General features: G+C 37.5%; 1 long non-coding RNA gene across 1 annotated transcript in view; it reads right to left on the bottom strand.

Annotated features, from left to right (window-relative positions):
• The window catches only part of LOC105373651 (uncharacterized), a 42,737-nt gene that overhangs the window by 18,185 nt on the left and 8,240 nt on the right, over positions 1 to 16,312 (bottom strand). Inside the window, exons 2-5 of the long non-coding RNA XR_923388.1 lie at positions 8,327 to 8,486; positions 8,101 to 8,187; positions 4,448 to 4,634; positions 4,020 to 4,099 (exon numbers count right to left, since the gene is read on the bottom strand). This is a non-coding gene — a long non-coding RNA (uncharacterized LOC105373651). The remainder of the gene's footprint in view (positions 1 to 4,019; positions 4,100 to 4,447; positions 4,635 to 8,100; positions 8,188 to 8,326; positions 8,487 to 16,312) is intronic.

The raw sequence follows: 16,312 nt of genomic DNA, 5'->3' as shown, positions 1-16,312 counted from the left end.
TGTCTGGATTAAGATAAAGGATTGTGGAGTCCAAAGTTCTTATTGTGTGGAGAAGGAAGCCTTCAAGTAGCAGGCTTTAGAGAGAATAGATTGTAAATATTTCTTATCAGACTTAAGATCTGTTGATGTTAATGCCAGGGAGGTATAATGGGGCATGTGTCACCTCTGCTTCCAGTCATGGCCTGAACCAGTCTTTCAGGTTAAATTTTAAGAGTGCTGTGGCTGAGGAGGAAGTTCATTCAGATGGTTGCAGGCCTTAGAATTTTGTTTTTGGTTTACAGCTGTGTGTTGTAGGATTGTGCCACTATTTTGTCCACCCAAGTGACTGTCTGGCCTTTTTCCAATATTGGGCTGAATTGGCCTTTCTACTCTTTAGGCAAACTCTGTTTCTTTCTCTTTATTAGAATAATGAAAGGGGTAATATTGAGTGCTAATACAACTTTTAAAATGCAACTATAACACCAAAACCAATGCAGGGCTGTAAACTCTTAAGTATTTAAGTAAATTATACAATTAATCTCCAAAACTAATCCATCCACACTTACTGGCTTCAAGTTTGGGATGGAGATTCTGTATGCTCCACCTTTTGGGTTGAAATGATGATGCTGACGTCTGGAAATTTAACTCAACACTCAGGTGTCTAGGGAATTACTTTTTACATTTAAAAAGTCTTGCTTTAGTCGGAGAGTTAGGTACTGAGATGAATTTTTCTCTGGCTGAATTTCAAGCAAATCAGGTAATGTATGTTGTTTACTAGAGGGAGAAAAGGTATAGCCATAAAGTCATATCACTCGATTTTTCCAACTAGCTCTAAGACCAGTCCTTAGAGCTATAAGGGACATTTTTTAACTGTTTCTCAACAACTACTTTTAGATTGGAGACTGATGAAAATATATTGTTCTTAACTACATCATTATTCAAGTAGAACAGAGATTGTTATATATGGAAACTACTGTCCCTATAGAAAATGGAAAAAAAAATGGAAACAGGGTCATTGTTATTCAAATAGAACAGAGATTGTTGTGTATGCAAACTATTGTCCCTAAAGAAAAGGAGGAGACACAGAGTGGAAGGTTATGGTGAAGACTGAGGCAGATGGCAGTGATGTGGACATGAGCCAAGGAACACCTGCAGCTGCCACCAGAAACAGGGAAAGATTCTCCTTGAGAGCCTTCAGAGAGGAAGAATACAGTTTTATGCTTAGTCTCAAACACTTAAAGTAGATAGGAATACTGTGGTTCTGCAAGTGTCTAGAACAGTCAAATAAAGACTGTTTGGGTCTCAATGATCTAATGTATTATAGTGTTATGAACGAATTGTGCCCCTCAAAAATTTGTATGTTGAAGCCTCCACCACTAATGTGACTGTATTTGGAGAGAGGGACTTTATGGAGGTAATTAAGGTTAAATGAGGTGGTAAGAATGGGCCCCTAACAGGATATATAACTTGTGTCCTTATAAAAAGGAAGTGACATTGCAGCTTGCTGGCTCTCTGAGCAAGCACAGAGGAAAGGCCATATGAGGACACATCAAGAAGGTGGCCCTCTACAAGGCAGGAAGACAGCCCTCACCAGAAACCAAATTCACCAGCACCTTGATCATGGACTTCTGCCCTCCAAAACAGTGAGAAAAGAAATGTCTATTGTTTGAGTCACCCAATCTGTGGTACTTTATTATGGCAGCCTGAGCTGACTAATACATATGGCAAAGTGTCATTGGTCTCTGTTATTCCAGATAATAACCCTACTCTGCACTTTGCTGTCCACCTTTAGCTATAACTGTTACCAGTGGAAGTTATCCAGGTTACTGTCTGTGATTCTGCATGGGGTCTGCAGCAACCTCAATTATTGCTTCCTCAGGATCAAGAATTCAACTGAGGGTCATAAGACAGAAGAAGAGACTCAGGCAAGCTTTAGAGCAGGAATGGAAGTTTATTAAAAAGCTTTAGAGCAGGACAGAAAAAAAGGAAATAAACTTGGAAGAGGCCCAAGCAGGTATCTTGGAGGTCAAGTGCAGCATTTGACCTTTGACTTGGGGTTTTATATGTTGGCATACTTCTGGGGTCCTGCATCCGTTTTCCTTGATTCTCCCCTCAGGGTGACCTGCCCACATGCGTGGTGGCCTGCTAGCACTTGGGATGTGAACAAGTGCAGTGTATTTACTGAAGTCATACGCATGCTCACCTGAGGCATTCTTCCCTTTCCTAGTGGAATGCCCCTGGAAGGTCATACTCTGCCATTTTTGCCTCTTAATGTGCATGCTTGAGCTCACTCGCTCAATTCCTAAAAGGTGCTGATTATCAATCACAGGTATTTTTATCTATTGGGAAACTACCTTTCCCTGGCACTGTCTTAAGACCAATTATTTTTTAGAGAGGCAGTGTGACAACTGCCTGACCATCACCTGGTGGTGAGCTGACATTCCTGGTGGGTGAGGGGAGCACTCTCCTGCCCCACTCATGCATGGCTAGCTACCTACTGTAACAGTAACTGTAATGTCAAAGTTTGATAGAAATGGTTGCATCTGTGACATGGCTGAGACATCGTCAAAACATTCTGTTTTGCAGAGTATAGGAAATGATTTTAAGTTTAATCAAGTTCTTAAAGGACAAAAGTTGGCATCACAAAACCTCCCATCACCACTGGCACTAATTAGTCTTCTTCGTGACAGCTGAAGTAGGTATGACTAGGACTGAATATTAAACCAAGATGGAATAAATCCCTTTCTCCCTTAGAGTTTATCTTTCTTTCCCGTGGTTGAGATATTTCCCCCTAGAAGTCAATGGAAACTTGTACTTTGCCATTCTGGTTTTCTCACCAGTTAGAGTATTTTATTATTTTGTCATTATGACATATTCCACCACAGCAAAAGGGCAGAAACAAAAAAAAACTTATGACTTCTTCAAAAAGTGATACACAACAGTAGTATATTTTGAAAACACCTGAGTAATACAAAATCTTTGTTCATATTAGAAATGATGCACACTATGTTCATTCCTGTATTTCTGAAATGAGTTTTTAAAATGTACTAAAATGGCTTTAATTTATTTCAAAAGGTAGAAGAAAGTATTCATTAAATCCATAAATCATTGAAAATTCAAATTGGTTGACCATCAGGTGAGTCTCTTCTTTTTATTTAGCTTACTTAGCACTTCTACTTTGTACTTTGAATTTGTAAAGTGCTTATCAGCCTTATTAGTTAACCCTTGTAATGTGCCCAAGAAGTAGATGGATGGCAAGCATTAGCGTGACATACATTAGTGTAGTCCTTTGAGAGATGCTATCAATGAAGCACAGGGAGGTTAAATGATTGCTACACAATTGCCCATCAAGCCCAAAGAAAAAAGTCTTGGTCTCAATTTCCTACCTTCTAACCCTTAGCAATAACAAGGGTAAAACTAAACATAAGATCATAAGATCATCCACAAGCATCTAATGTGTAGTCCCCTTTAAAAATGAAAGCTCTCAAATGCATTTTCTTAGGGTACTGAAAATCTATCCATTGAACAAGTATATTAGATGTATATTTCTTTGTCACTTCCCCATTTAAGATGGGATCATCTTAAAAGGCTATGACATAAATTGTTGTGGAAAAGATCGATTAGTTTAAAAGCTTTTTCCTTTTAACAGATCAGATGGTCATTATATTTCACCCTTTTGTGTGTGATTTTCATTGAGCCATTTTAATCATTTATTCATCTGAAGAAATTTCACCAAAAACCGAGACATTCTACAAATCATTTATCCGTTCTGGGTTTCTGTGCTAATCACTGGGTTTGAACTTCTGGGAATTGGGGACAACTCCCTGATTCTAGAATCCGTATCTTCAGAAGCAGATTTTCTTTAAGAGCTCTTCAATTCTCCTCATGGGTGAGGCTCATTACTTCATTTATAATCCTTTATCTCATTTGAGAACATTATTAGGAAATGTTTATGAGACATCAAAGAGGGCTATGTTTTGAACCCGAAGGTAAAGGGAAGATATTGCAGTCAGCTCGATGGGAAGAAGTCTAACTATTACCTTTTTTGGATGAATCAATCTTTTAATTTCACTTCTTTCACCAGTGTTTGGCTTCTTTGTTATTTCACACCTGCATGGCACTTTTAGTTGGAAATGGACAGAGAGAAAAAAAGCATTCAGGGTAAATTCATATTGTTCCATTGGCTCTTTTGTAATATAAATGAAAAACTGATGTAAAAGTTAAAACTATTAAGATAAAAGGAAATTCACAGATATAAATTTTTCCACTGTTTGGACCCCAAACATGAGAAATCTAGCATTTTGAAATAACATCATAAAATAGTGACTGATATTTGTAATAATATTTGCATTTTACAAAATACTCCCATTTTAAAATTTAACTCGACACTTATGTTAAGTTTGAGAAGCTGTTATTATATATTATCAATTCTAGTTGACAGCTTTAAAAAAAATAAAGTTCAAAGAACCTGAGATGTGTTGACGTCACATGGATGATATAAGTTATAGAGCCAGGACATGAACCTCTTGACACCAAGTCCAAAGAAATTCTCTTTATAATTTCCTCTCACTATTTTATACTATGGTTCTAATAGTCAAGCATATTCACACACACATATTATATCTTGAAATATGTGCGTTATCACCCAGTTGCACCTAAAATGACAAATACAAAAGTCATGGCTGAGACAATACCAATAGAGATCTTGACAAACATTTCTCATATTAACCCATATTAACTCACAGATATAGGCCAAAATATCATTTTCAATAAGCTGTTAAAGATTTTTGACATTTTATCTGCAATTAACCAAGTGGGTGGTTTCCAAATGAAAATTGATCCAGAAATGCTTCATGTGATTATTGCATAAGAGCTAAAAATTACTTTTAAATGTTCCAGAGAATAAGTACTTAAGTGTTAATTCAGTACCTGTCTATGTGTCCAGGAGTCTTGCTATATCATCTAAAAATATTTTCAGTACTTTATGTATCTCCCTTATAGGCTATTAATGAGAGTTAATGTGCTCTGAAAAAGACCCATCCCATGGCAAACAATTTCTGCCCACCTTATGAAATCATGTTGCCTACAGAATCAAGTCAAATCCTCTTACCCTGACATTCAAGGCCCATCAAAACTGGTCCCAATTTCCTCTCCAGCTTTCCCCTAACTAATCATATTCATAAATCTACTTTTATTGCTAAACTTATCTCCTGCCCCTTCTTCAGATTTGCGGTGCGCTCTTTTACATGTGCGCTTAAAATATCTTATCCTTCTCTCCTGTCTATCCAACTCTTATTCACTTCTTACTATCCAAATCAAGACAAGAGTTCCTCTAAAATTTCTCTTTACTATTATTCCAGCTTTAATACGCGTAATGTTAATTTGAAATGTAAAAATGCACTGCTATTCTTGCATCATATACAGGTTTTAAAATCTCTGGCAGCATTTTACTTTCACAATTTCATTTTTTAAGTGGATCAATATAATCAAGCATAATGTTTGCTAACAATCACTAAATGTTAGGGTCAGACACCAGCTAAACACTTTAAATACATGTCCTCACCTAGTACAACAATGCAGAAGTTGCTACTGTTATTGTTCTTTTTTCAAAACTGAGCCAACCTGGGGCCTAGAAAGGTTCAGTTACATGACTGCTGTTACAATGGTGAGATAATCGGCAAAAGAAGAATTTGAAATTAGTTGTTTCTGATCCTACAACCCAATGTTATCTTACCTCACCACCTCTATCAAGGATCACTATTAAGGATGCAATAATGAATTAAAATAATTTATATCCTTAATGCAATGATGTATTTTGTATTAAATCCTGGAACACAAAATAACATTATTTAAAAACCTGTCAATGAAAATAAAGTCTGTGGTTTAGTTAATATTAGCATATCCTGTTAATTTCTTAGTTTTGACCAATGCTCCATTGTTATAAACGATATTCACATTGGGGGAATCTGGATATAAAGGGTGTCTCTGTACTGTCTTTGAAACATTTGTGTAAATCTAAATGTGTTCTAAAATTTTTTAAAGTTTTGAAAATTCACATGAATAATTTATATCTGCTCATAATTAATGTTCTATTTATAGTTTCTCAGTCATATAATTTTCTCTTCTTTCATAGCCTCAAAATACTGTATATACCTGTTTAATAGAATTGACCTTGTTATTTATATTTGCGTCTGCATGCATATGTGTGTGTGTGTGTGTGTGTGTGTGTGTGAGAGAGAGAGAGAGAGAGAGAGAGAGAAAGAGAGAATACTTGTTTTTGCCCCTTACAACTTTGTCAACTTTGTAATAGCAGGCATTGTGTCTTATTGTTTGATCTTTCCATAAGCTTTTGCTAAAGTCTCATATATAATGAAAGTGTAAATGAAATTTGTTAAATTAATTTCAATTTGAGTTGATAATTTTGAGGTGATTTTTGGAGTTGTGATCAATTTTCACATAGTCAGTTATCCTCCTTCCCTCCAGTTTAATTTTCACCACATGTATACAGCAAGATGACCATTAAGACTGATAACTATAGTCTGTGGTTAATAAATAAAAAAGCAAAGGCATGTGATCTCAAAACTATGGCACATGACACTGCTATTAAAATTCACCCCCAGATGGTGGTTTTAGACATTGTGGAGAATGAAATCCAGTATTACGCAGTATCCATCACCCAAGGAATGTAGATTTTGAATTCAGAAAATAACAACGGATGTTTCTTCCCAAATGCAAAATCTGATGTTTTTCCTTTCTGTTTTTTTATTTCAAAAATGTATTCATCCATGCATGGACGTCTAAAATCTTTTCAAAAACAGTTTTATTTTTTCTTAGCCTGAAGAAGGGGAGAATTTCTAAAAATAATAATAATGATAATACTGAAAATAAATCAATGCCTTCCTTTTGATGGTTGAAGTTTCCCTGAAAACCAAATAATCATATCATATAAGACGTCAGGACAATATATGTGACTTCATAAAGGCAAAAACCTTTCCCAGTCACAGACTCCAGGCTCAGCTCTCAAGGAAGCATGTCTGCCAGTGCATGCCTGGTTCCAACGAGTAAAGGAAGTGGCAAGGAATGATGACAAATCTATGCCTCCTACTCTAAGGGTTCAACTCTTCCTGAGCTCGAAGGTAGTTTTAAAAATTAACCCTCCAGCATTATTGTGCCTTGTCTCATTGGTAAATGTAACAAATCATTGGCAGTTGAATTAGAGTTCTTCGCCCTTGACACCTCAAAGTACTGCTCAGCCCAGTGAGTTAACGGGATATTGCAATGGCATATTACAGCATCCTGATTTCCGAACACTTTCATACTTAAGAACAGACTGACAGGATGCTTTAAGTCATCAACCAGGAAAGATTTCTCCACTTGTGCCTTGAAAATGGGAATAAATGCACAAATCTATACCTTTGTGCTTCATTTGCTATCTGTCTTGTCAAAATGAAAATCGACATGGGAATCAAGTCAAATGTGCTTCAGCAGATTAGAGAGAAATAATGTATATTTTTCCTCTTGAGTCACTCAGAGCAACTATCATTTCCTGCTGTGCTAATTTGTCTTGGGCAAGTGGTTCTGAAGGTGAAACTTTGAAGGTCCTATGTATGAGAAGCCAGTGCTGCATAGCATGAAATAAACACAGAAAGAACGAAGTGTGGATAAAAGTATTATAGAACAACTGTAAGTTGTATTTTGTTTTATTTTCAAGAGAATATAGTGTTCCCTTGAATACTATTAGAAATAATTAAAAGAGAAGCTGTAAAATTGTAAGTAAAATATTTTTCTAAAAAAAAATAAAGGGAGCTGTTTAATTATTTCTAGTTTTCATTCTGTGTTTTCTGTTATTTGATCTCAACTTATCCTAAAGCTCCCCTGTGTAAGTTTGAGGAAGCAGGGTTGCCCAGGAGGGGTGGGGAAGGCCTATGAAAAAAAAAAGAAAGAGATAACTGATGGATAAAACTTGGTCTATTTGAAGAATGAATTCTGGTCAGTGTCAAAAGCCAAATGTGATTCACTGTATAAACCACACATTCATCACCCTGCCTACATGTTTGCTTTCTCTGCTAACACTATTATATTCCCTTTAGTGCACCCCTACCACCATGATAATTTACTCACCTCTGTACAGATCCTTATTCTTTTTCAAGGAAATGACATGCTGCCCTCATTTCTAAATCTAGATGTCATCTTTTTAAAGAAGAGACCCTGGGATATTCAAAACAAAGAACAGATAATTCTTAATAATGTTTTGCCTTCATGAGATCACTTTTTGAAATCCATCAAGGCGACCTACATTGAAGACCCAAAATATTATAATGCCCCTACCCCCATCCTTGGGACTCACCAGCAAGTCAGGTTGTCTAGGAAAATCTCATTACTGCAGAACTCACTGTCCAGGCTACTGTTAGTAGAGAGGAAACGGAGAAAAGTAACCCAGGTGACTGTCTGCAAACGGGCACAGATTAACCGTTCTTTGTCCAGAATCCTGGTGGAATACTGAAGAGCTACGGAAAGTCATTTTCAGACACAACATTGAGAACAGAGCTGAAAGATGATACACACATTTCCATGAATTGCAATCAATGCCACACAAGTGGAAGAACTATCATGAAAATTAATTTGGCCCAAAACTGTATCCAAAGGAATAGTTTTAGGCAAGCTTCAGCATGTTCCTGCAGCTGACAATTTGTTTAATTAGGAAGGTTATTAAACCATTTGGTTGAAATGGACAAAATTCTATGAGATTGTGGAGCATATTCATAGTCACAGGTTTATCTTCTCTCCTTGTATTCAATTGAGGACACTAATTCAATTCATTCACAAAGCAATAGATTTTATTGTGGACAATGTTGGTTTCCTTCCAGGAATCAATTCCCATTTTAAAAGGAGGCCTAAAGTGTCTGGGCCTCAGCCAGATGTTTCTAAGAGGAGAATGTTTAAAATTATTGCTAATTCCATGGTGAGTATTTTTCTCACCATTCTCATATTCCCCCTTCAAGAGTCAGAATGAACCATACTCTGCATTACATATTTCTGCCAAGGTTATTTTAATTTGTGTTAGTCTAAAATAAATTTTATGAGTGTAAAAAGAATTTAGAGGAAGCACAAGTTTGATATGGACATATATACAACATTGAGGCCAAGACAAATGATATTGATCCATGAAAAGATAAATGTATACTCTGAAATTATGACCATTCCAATTAAATTAAAATTCTTTAAAGAAGTTGTAATCACTAAGAATCACTTTGAATTTTTTTTGCAGTTAATCATACAGAGGCTTCTTGACTTATGATGGGGTTATATCCTGATAAACCCATCATAAGTTGAAAATATTGTAAGTCCATAATACTTCGAATACACTTAATCTACTAAACATCACAGTTTAGCCTAGCCTACCTTAAACGTCCCTAGAACACTCCCATTAGCCTTAGCTGGGCAAAATCATCCGGCAACACAGAACAGTGTAAAGCATGTGTTCTTTGCCCTTACAATTACGTGGCTGATTGGGAGCTGTGCCCCAGTGCTGCTGCCTGCATCATGAAAGAGTATTGTATCATGTAACACTAGCCCAGAAAAAGATCAAACTTCAGAATTCGAAATGTGCTTGCTGCTGAATGCATATGGCTTTCGCACCATCATAAAGTCAAAAAATCCTAAGTGGAACCATTCTATGTTGGCGACCATCTGTATTTCTAAGTCCTTGCCTTTAACAATATTTTAATCTGTAAGTTTATGATACTAACCCACAACATCTGCATTTTTGAAAGGGCAGTTACAGTGAAATGACCAGTTTCCTTTGAGAACCCAATTGTTATGAGTAACACACATATATCAGCACCAAAACCAAAAGTTCTAGAATTTATGGATAATATAAGACTTTCCATTAGTCTATGATTTGGCCACAGGTTTGCCTGTCTAGTCATTTCTTATTTCCATTACTGTATAATACTTACAAAGAGCCCTGATCTTTCTATTGGAGACTGCTCAAAATCAAGATACTAAAATGTAAGCACCTGCTACAACTCTTTTGACATTTGTATTCCTATTGCTTTTGCTACTTAAATTTCAGTCTTTAAATACTATTGTATAAATCTATGCAAGGCAAGCAACTTAGGAGGTATGATTATGCTTTGTAATTATTTTCCAGAGAAAAGCACTGAAGAGATTTCACTGTCTATGGTGCATACTGTCATAGAAGTGGTTTGTAAATCAAGTTGGCCTCAAGTAGGAGAAATTTAAATATCACAGCCACCCTAAAAATATTGATTTTCATATTCCAGATGAGGAAATTTAGCATCAGAGAAAATATCATAATCAGTAAAACCTAGCCAATAAGAGAGACAGGCAGGAAGGCTATGATGTAATCACATGTCCTCATAGAACCCTTGGACAAGAGTTAGGGATGATGATGACAGCATTGGGTTAATTGGGAAAGGCTTTGGCATCTCTCCTTATTTAGAGCACAGCAGCTTCAAATGCAACTGGTTTATGTTGGAATTGGAAGTAAAATTTTGTTTGAATAAAATACAAACAGCTTAGATGATTTACTGCATTACACATAGAGTAACCCAACTGTCCTGGTTTGCCTGGAACTGAGGGGGTTGCCAGGAAACAGGAGTTTCTGTGCTAAAATGGGGAAAGTCTTAGAAAAATAGGAATAAGTTGGTCACCCTACTAGTCTACTTTCCATCAAAATATTTATTTTTTGAAGGCTTCAGACTGAACAGATAGGAAATAATGCACGTTGAGGGCTCTAATGAATGTGGAACATAGCCTTGATCCATAGCTTCACAGGATTCAGCATTGTGAGGATTTGTACATTTCCCTTGGGCCTTGACTTAATGCAAGAGGGATGCAACTCAGTACTGACCCATATGACCATTCCTATGCTCACCCTTTTTAAAAGTAGGCATAAGTATCTACATTTAAATATTAGAATTAGATTGTTTCACATATTGCATATTTTACTTCCCTGGAGCAAGGGCTTTCAAAACTTTGTGACTACAATCCACAGTAAGAAATCAATTTTACAATATTGCTTAGTACATGGATCACAGATAAGTGTTACAGAAGTTTCACAGATAATTTTTATGTTTGTTATTAACCTTCAGAATACTACATGTAGGACCTCCATGTGCTACCAAGTTCAGTACCATAGATTTCTATTTCTGCAATCCATTCCAATACCCATTGAATGGCCTAAGGTTGTGGTTCTCTACCCATAGTGAACAAAAACATCACCAGGGAGTGTACTAAAGTTGGCAGTATCATAGTACAACAGAAAGAGTTCTCCATTCCAGGCTTGATTATGAGCTAGGACCAAGAAACTTGCTTTAGCAATAAGTAATCCAGGCCATGCTTAGAACACTGCCTTCAGGGCTCTGGTCCTGAGCTATCCCACAGCTTATATATCATCAATTTATTTTTCTGCTATTTACTTCTCCATCCAGCTTGTATATGAGAAAAATAAGTGGGAGATTCTGGAGGTATAAGCTTCGCATTGCTAAAACACCATTGAAAGAAGTGCATAAATTTAAAATAAGATAATCATTCTTATTAACAAAGTTTATATAGTATTTCAATGCAAGATTTGTTTTAGTTTTCCCTAAACCATAGGTAACTACTAGAGAAATTTGTGCAAAAAAGGGATACCCCTTTTTGCTGGCTATAATGATCACTCTGTTATGGAGGAAAGCAAGATAAGAGGTGAGGTGATCTGGAAAAAGATGTTGGAACAAATCAGGTAAGTGATGATGAGGCAATTGATATGGTTTGACTCTGTGTCCCCACCCAAATCTCATCTCAAATTGTAATCCCCATGTGTTGAGGGAGAAACCTGGTGGGAGGTGAATGGATCATGGGGAGGTTTCCTCCAAGCTGTTCTCATGATAGTCAGAGAGTTCTCAAATAATCTGATGGTTTAAAAGTGTGGCACTTCCCTCCTCTCTCTCGCTCATTGTCCTGCTGCCTTGTGAAGAAAGTGTTTGCTTCTCATTTGCCTTTTGCCATGATTGTAAGTTTCCTGAGGCCTTCCCAGCCATGTGGAACTGTGAGTCAATTAAACCTCTTTTTTTTATTAATTACTCAGTCTCAGGCAGTTCTTTATATCAGCATGAAAATGGATTAATACAGAAAATTGTTACTGGGATAGTGGGGTACTGCTATAAAGATAACCTGAAAGTGTAGACAAGACTTTGGAACTGGTTAATAAGCAGAAGTTGGACTGGTTTGAAGGGCTCAGAAGAAAACACGAAAATGTGGGAAAGTTTGGAACTTCCTAGAGACTTGTTGAATACTTTTGACCAAAATGCTGATAGTGATATGGACAATGAAATCCAGGCTGAGGTGGTCTCAGATAGAGATGAGGAACTTATTGGGAACTGGAACAAAGGTCACTCTTGCTATGCTTTAAGCAGAGACTGGCAGCATTTTGCCCCTGCCCCAGACATCTGTGAAACTCTGAACTTGGGAGAGTTAATTTAGGCTATCTGGCAGGAAAAATTTCCAAGCAGCAAAGCATTCAAGATGTGAACTGGCTTCTTCTGAAAGCATACAGTCATATGTGTTTGCAAAACGATTATCTGAAATTGAAGCTTATGTTTAAAAGGGAAGTAGAACATGAAAGTTTGGAAAATCTGCAGCCTGGCCATGCAGTAGAAAAGAAAACCCCATTTTCTGGGGAGAAGTTCAAGCTGGCTGCAGAAATTTGCATAAGTAAAGAGAAGCTGAATGTTAAATAGCCAAGATAATGAGGAAAATGTCTCCAGGATAGTTCAGAGATCATCATGGCAGCCCCTCCCATCACAGGCCCAGAGGCCTAGGAGGAAAAAATGGTTTTGTGTGCCAGGCCCAGGACTCTGCTGCTCTGTAAAGCCTTGAGACATGGTGCCCTGTATCCCAGCCACTCCATCTCCAGCCATGGCTAAAAGAGGCCAAGGTACAGCTTGAGCAACTGTTTCAGAGAGTGCAATCCCCAAGCCTTGGTGGCTTCCACATGGTGTTGGGCATGTGGGTGCACAGAAAACAAGAGTTGAGCTTTGGAAGCCCCCACCTAGGTTTCAGAGGATGTGTGAAAATGCCTGGATGTCCAGGTAGAAATCTGCTGCAGGAGTGGTGCCCTCATGGAGAACCTCTACTAGGATAATGCAGAGTGGAAATGTGGGGTTGGAGCCCCCACAGAGAGTCCTCAATGAGGCACTACCTAGGGGAGCTGTGAGAAGAGGACCACCATTCTCCAGACCCCAAAATGGTAGATCCATTGACATCTTGCACTGTGCACCTGGAAAATGCACAGGCACTCAATGGCAGCCTGTGAAGAAGCTGCCTAAAGCCATGGGAGCCCACCCTTTGCATCAGTGTGCCCTGGATGTGAGATATGGAGTTAAAGAAGATCATTTTGGAGCTCTGAGATTTAATGACTGACCTACTGGATTTTGAACTTGCATGGGGCCTGTAGCCCCCTTTGTTTTAGCCAATTTCTCCCATTTGGAGTGGGAAAATTTACCCAATGCCTGTACCCCCATTGTATCTTGGAAGTAAGTAGCTTGCTTTTGTTTTTACAGGCTCATAGGTGGAAGGGATTTGCCTTATCTCAGATAAAACTTTGGATTGTGGACTTTTGGGTTAATGTTGGAATAAATCAAGAATTTGGGGGTGTGTTGGGAAGGCATGATATGTTTTGAAACGTGAGAAAAACATGAGATCTGGGAGGATCCAGAGGTGGATTAATATGGTTTGGCTCTGTGTCCCCACCCAAATCTCATCTCAAATTGTAATTTGCACATGTCAAGGGAGGGACCTGGTGGGAGGTGATTGGATAATGTGGGTCATTTCCCCCATGCTGTTCTAGTGAATGATGCTTTAAAAGTATTTGGCAGTTCACTCCCATTCCCTCATCTCTCCTGCTGCCTTGTGAAGAAAGTGCTTGTTTCTCCATTGCCTTCCACCATGATTATAAGTTTTCTGAGGTTTCCCTAGCCATGTGTAATGGTGAGACAATTAAACCTCTTCTATTTATAAATTACCCAGTTTCAGGTAGTTTGTTATAGCAGTATGAAAATGGGCTAATACAGTAATGTACTAAAGAGTTAGGCTGAAAATGGTTGTAGATGATGAATATACAACAAGCAATAGGAAGTATAACCTCTCATAGCATAATAGGTCAGGTAGACAAGCAGGTGGTCATCCTGATGCAGTGCAACATGTTCTGTGCAAATGGTATTTGTAATTTGCAATGATTACAAAAGGCAGAAACCCACTCAGAAACACTGCAGTATGCACTGCAACTCTGTCTTCAAGCAATCAGCAGACCGTGGATGAGCATTTGACACTCAAATCAAGGTGGCTGGAAAACAAGATGAGCTCAGAATATTTAAATATCTTTTAATAAATTCCAGGATAAAATACCATTTAACATTGCAATGAATTAGAGACAAAGAAAGTAAAACTTCATTGTTATGCACTTGATTGTAAACTCCATCCATCTAAATGTAGATGCATAAAAAGCAGGGTGCTATAATATTTTCTCTTAATTTTATGTAATATTCTAACTTAGTCTACATGTAACAGTGTACATGAAAATCCTCAGGACCTTTTTCCAAGACAATCCAGAGATTGATGACTCTCCTCCCCATGACATTCCTGTTCAATTAGGTAGAGGTCATAGAGACATCTGCTTCATATTTCACCAAAGAGTATTAAGGACTTCAAGGGAAATGAAATTCTTTAATTTTAGGTCTTGGCACACACAAAGCAAACTCACCATTCACTTATAAAAAAAGATGACAATTAGTTGAATTTTTCTACCAATTTTATTTTAGTTTTTAAAAGTTCTCCATTTATTATTTATAGCATGATTTCCTTAGTTTGAGCTCCCTTCTCTGACCTCCTTGTTTACCCTCCTTATATATAGCTTGACTCGGGATCAAATGCAGTGGAGGGTCTCATTAAATGCTGAGCAGCCAGTTTTGACAAACTCTACTTTCACACAAGTTACACAACAGAAATACATAATATAATTTTTATGGTTGACTGCCTTGAGAAAATTTAGCACACCAGACGCATAATTCATTCAAGGAAAAAAACATTCTTTAGCTGACTTATTACCTGAGTGTAGCTCTGCTGCTGGAAATAAAGTTTGAAAGCTTCTGCGTACATAAGGAGTACAAATGGATTTCGGTCATCAATAACGTGACTAAATTAAGAATCAGAGTGTTAAGGGATTTCCCTCTAGCAAGTTAACAATAATACGCCTTGTCTTTGTGTCTATGATGTGACAGAATCCATGCCCTACACATTGCATGTGTTACCTTGCTGTAATTCTAACAGGCCTATCATATGAACATCATAATCCCCACTTACAGATGAGAACGCTGAGGATCAGAAAGGTTAAATAACTCCCACAGGATCACACTGCTGGTGAATGTTGAACCCAAGTCAGTGAAATTCCACAATGATGGGTTATCCTACGACTTCCATGAAATTTTACTTCTCATCCTAGAAGGTTTGATCATCATTGAGTGTCTGCAAACCATGTATTTGACGTTCTGCCTCTTGTCAGTGCAAGCAAGAGAGAGTACTAAAAGTGCCTTAAGAGGTAATCTGATACAAATAAAAGCAATCAAAAGATTTTAGACTCGGAAACCCCATTCAGTGAATGTTTAACAGAGCAGTCGAGGATGAAGACAGAGAGGACAGGAGCCAGAGCTGATTCTGATGCTGATGCTCAAGCACATGAGACTGTGTTTCCCTTGCCAAATCATTTGTTTGCTGTTGTTTGCAAAGTCTAATTGTATCACAGTACAGAGTGTAAAATGCTAAGTAAAATGTTTCTTTGCCATATCTATCTATATATAGACAGAGCTTTGATTTCCTAAATCCAATATTTGCATATATCCAATATAGTTATAAAGACAGAACCAAACTGCAGTGGCATTTAAAGAAAGTCATTTAGAAAGTAAATGAGAAATAAATATAGGACCTCTAACTAGGGATATATTATGCTTCTTTCTCTTCTGATTCCTGGCCTATTCCCTTTCTTCCTGTGTCAATTAATTCATCGGTGCCATATTTATATTTAAACTCTTTGTTATAAGAAACAAACCCTACTTTTCTTCATGAAATAAAAAGAAAGAAGTGTGGTCAGATAAAAGAAGAATGAAACCTGGAAATGCAAAGATATCAGGCAGTTGAAGTAGTACTGTTCTCTCATCTGCAGTCTCCAGTCTCTATGGTTTGGGGTTTCTCTTCCCCTGTGAACTTTCTCTGATACTCAATCTACCTGGAAGGCATGGGATGGTCATTCGGTGACTCACAAGTTTATGTGTTA

This window comes from Homo sapiens, chromosome 2, assembly GCF_000001405.40.
Source record: "Homo sapiens chromosome 2, GRCh38.p14 Primary Assembly".
In the NCBI taxonomy this organism is placed as follows: domain Eukaryota; kingdom Metazoa; phylum Chordata; class Mammalia; order Primates; family Hominidae; genus Homo; species Homo sapiens.
The sequence above is the reverse complement of the archived record's forward strand: the minus strand, read 5'-3'. Positions and strand labels throughout refer to the sequence as shown.